At 34.1% G+C, this 3687-nt stretch overlaps 1 annotated feature.

Annotated features, from left to right (window-relative positions):
• Positions 507–1133: an enhancer, noted in NCBI's record as "OCT4-NANOG hESC enhancer chr9:11915567-11916193 (GRCh37/hg19 assembly coordinates)". NCBI's record gives its function as "activates a minimal SCP1, AML or CMV promoter by ChIP-STARR-seq in primed H9 embryonic stem cells {active_cell/tissue: H9 hESC(primed)}" and the evidence as "EXISTENCE:reporter gene assay evidence [ECO:0000049][PMID:30033119]".

The raw sequence follows: 3687 nt of genomic DNA, 5'->3' as shown, positions 1-3687 counted from the left end.
TCACCTTTTGCCATGAGTTGAAATTTCCTGAGGTCTCCTCAGAATCAGATGCTGGCACTATGCTTCCTGTACAACCTGCAGAACTATGATACCATTAAATCTTTTTTCTTTATAAATTACCCAGTCTCAGGTGTTTCTTTATACCAATGTAAGAATGACCTAACACAGAAAATTGTTACTGAGACTGGGGCATTACTACAAAGATACCGTGAAAGCAGGTTTGGAAGTGGGTAACAGTCAGAGGTTGGATGAATTTGGAGGGCTAAGAAGAAAACAACAAGATGAGAGAAATGTTGTATCTTCATAGAGACTGGTTAAATGGTTGTGACCAAAATGTTGATAATTATATGGACAGTGAAATAAAGGCTGACAAGGTCTTTGATGGAAATCAGGAACTTATTGGAAACTGTACCAAAGATTAACCTTGTTTTTCCTTACCAAAGAACTTGGCTGTATTGTGCCCTTGACCTAGGGATCTATGTAAGTTTGAACTTGACCATTAAGATTTAGGGTACCTGGAGAAAGAAAGTTTTATGCAGCAAAGCATTCAGGATGTGACTTGGCTGCTTCTAACAGCATATACGCAGATGCAGCAGCAAAAAAAAAAATGACTTAAAGATGTAACTCATATTTAAAAGAGAAGCACAGTGTATAAGTTTGGAAAATGTGCAGCCTGGCAATAAGATAGAAAAAAAAAAACCTGTTTTCAGTAGAATAATCAAAGCAGGCCGTGGAACAACCACTTGATAGAGATATCTGCATTACAAAAGTGGAGCCAAGTTCTAATATCCAACACAATGGAGAAAAGGCCTGAAAAGCATTTCAGAGACCTTTGCAGCAGCCCTTTCCATAACAGCCCCAGAGGTTTTGGAAGACAGAATAGTTTCATGGGCCAGGCCCAGGGCCTTGCCACACTGTGCAGTCAAGGCACAGTGCTCTGTCTCAGGACACTACCTTTCATTTGGGGAACAGCCACGTTCTGTTGAGTAATATTGTGCCCTGCCCCACCATGTGCCCCACCTTAGAGGATGTCGCCTTTCACTTAATCTGAATCCTGTCTACCACTGAGGTAGAAAAACTCTTTCAAATTAACTTGTTTCTCCTTATTCCATATATGACGAGTTCTTCCTCATTTTGACACTATCAGGCATGAAATCAACCATGAATTTCTTTCCTCCTGTGAAGAGATTAATGCTTTCTGGAATTTAGTTTACTTGGAATTTTTTTTGTATCTTTAACTCTTTGATGTCTTTAAAAATGTTTTGCCCAAATGTCTTGTGATAGGGATACAGCACCATTCTGTTGTGATTTTGTACACATTACTCAAGATGGGAATCCCATCATCTCATCTTTCTTCATTATATTCACATAGAAAATGTGTCTTCCACATTGAACAAATCCAGTGGGTGCCATTTCCATCATTTGTTATGTAAATGTTATCACCTGGAACTCTATCATTCACAAACCACATAGCTATAAATAGTATTCCTACCAGAAAATGACATTTAAGTATTAACAGGTCTCATTGGAGAAAGCCTGAGTCATTTCAGCATAGTGCCTATGAGCTAGGAAAGAATAAAGCGATTTCTTTCAATTATCTTAGGCTTGCATAGTGTGGTTGAGAACTTCTCTACTCTGTGTGAATAAATTAAAAAGTACTTTAATCTGATGCATTTTGGTGTGTTTTCTTGGGAGAATTTTTGAAATGGCATAACACTGAGGAATGGGAAGCCCATAGTCCAATGCTTAGCTTGTGCAATGAGTAACACATTCTTAATATCCAAGGAAATCATGTTAATTGACAGCTCTACTTGGACTTCTATAGCTTAAAAAATCAAGGTTAGTTTCTGTACAATTACCAGTTTTTCTCAGTTAATATGCAGATATAAGGTAAAACAGACATGAAGTCTCTTTTAAGGCTCTTAACAATAATAATAAGGCAGGTAAACAATAAGGTAGTTTACCTGGAAATATATTACATGGTGGGTGGTGGGCTAAAGACATGAAAAGCAATAATTAGAAATTCTATTAAATATATATCTATACTTTTTAACATTTTAAGATTTTAAACATTTACCTTTCAACGTTGGATGAGGATATGTTATTTGCAGTGTCAAACTTTGCATAGTGATACTATATATAAAGTTAGAATAAAATACAATATTAAAATTAAATAATTCTTGCCTTTTCAATTTGGTATCCGATTAATTTCTTTTATACTTTTTCTTTTTTTAAAAAAGTCCCACTTTTCAGAAAGAAAAACATTTTCTTTGTATAGTGTATTATATGGTTTGTCTGTGTCCCTACCCAAATCTCATCTTGAATTGTAGTTCCCATAATCCTAATGTGTTGTGAAAGGGACCCAGTGGGAGGTAACTGAATCATGGGAGTGGTTTCCTCCATGCTGTTCTCATGATAGCGAGTGAGTTCTCATGAAATCTGCTGGTTTTATAAGCATCTGGCATTTCTCCTGCTTGCACACATTCTCTCTCTTGCCACCCTGTGAAGAGGTAACTTCCACTTCCCACTATGATTGTAAGTTTCCTGAGGCCTCCCCAGCCATGTGGAACTGTGAGTCAATTAAATCTCTTTTCATTATAGATTACCCAGTCTCAGGTATTTCTTCATAGCATCATGAGAAAGAACTAACAAAGTCTATATTGCTTTAAAAAATCATTTTAAAAGGGTAAAAATATTATGGTAATATTTGATTTCACACTCTAGAAACAAATTATATTTGTTTTTCTTTTTATACTCTCTTAAAAACAATCAAATCTTCAAATATTTATTCTGAGATCTGATTTAAAGTGTATTATTTGAAAGTCTAAAATAATTATATTGCCTTCAAAAGAACAGTTTATACATCTTAAAAGCTTAAGATTAAAGGTGTTTCCCCACTTCTAAAAATCTACAGGCAGACTCAGAAAATAAAGTTCATGTCATTGATCTGATGTCTGAATACTGTAGGAATAAAACAATATAACTTTCAGAATATATAGCCAATTATTTGAAACTTCCAAAATGAACTGAGCCTTTTGCTGCAGATGATTTGCTAATAATAGTGAAAAAAACACATACTATAATTCTGTAGAGCAGTGAAAAGACTTACAAATTATTTAGAACATACAAAATTTCTGGACCTCAACTCTATTTTTGGTTGTTTTCACATCTTGAAAAAAAAAAAGATTAATTAACATATAACAAAGCACTGTCATATTAGAATTTGACATTAAAAATAACTGATAAATTTGTGGGCTTTTGCATTATATAGCATATTAATTAGTATGTGAAACTCAATGTTCTAATTCAGTCTACAGAACATAAACATCACAATACTTTTCTTATATTGTCTTTACTTTTAAGCATGAATAAAATACATTACCTTTCAAATTTTCTAGGTAACATAAGTTATCAAAAGACATGCCATAACATTACCACAGAGTAATCAGGCTCTAAAGTGTTTTAAACACATTTACAGAAGTTTGCTGTTCATGTTTCTGTGAATGTATGCCTTAATATTGATTTTAATTTACCTTTAGCAAAACACCGAAGGTCTGGTTTTCTGAAGCATTATATTACTTCTATTCATGAGGCTTGTAATTTTACACAGTACAACATGACTTCTTTTCAGTGGTCATAGAGAATAAATTCTTACATTGCCTGTACTTACATTCTAAGTAATCCTTT

This window comes from Homo sapiens, chromosome 9 (assembly GCF_000001405.40).
Source record: "Homo sapiens chromosome 9, GRCh38.p14 Primary Assembly".
NCBI classification, from domain to species: Eukaryota; Metazoa; Chordata; class Mammalia; order Primates; family Hominidae; genus Homo; species Homo sapiens.
The sequence above is the reverse complement of the archived record's forward strand: the minus strand, read 5'-3'. Positions and strand labels throughout refer to the sequence as shown.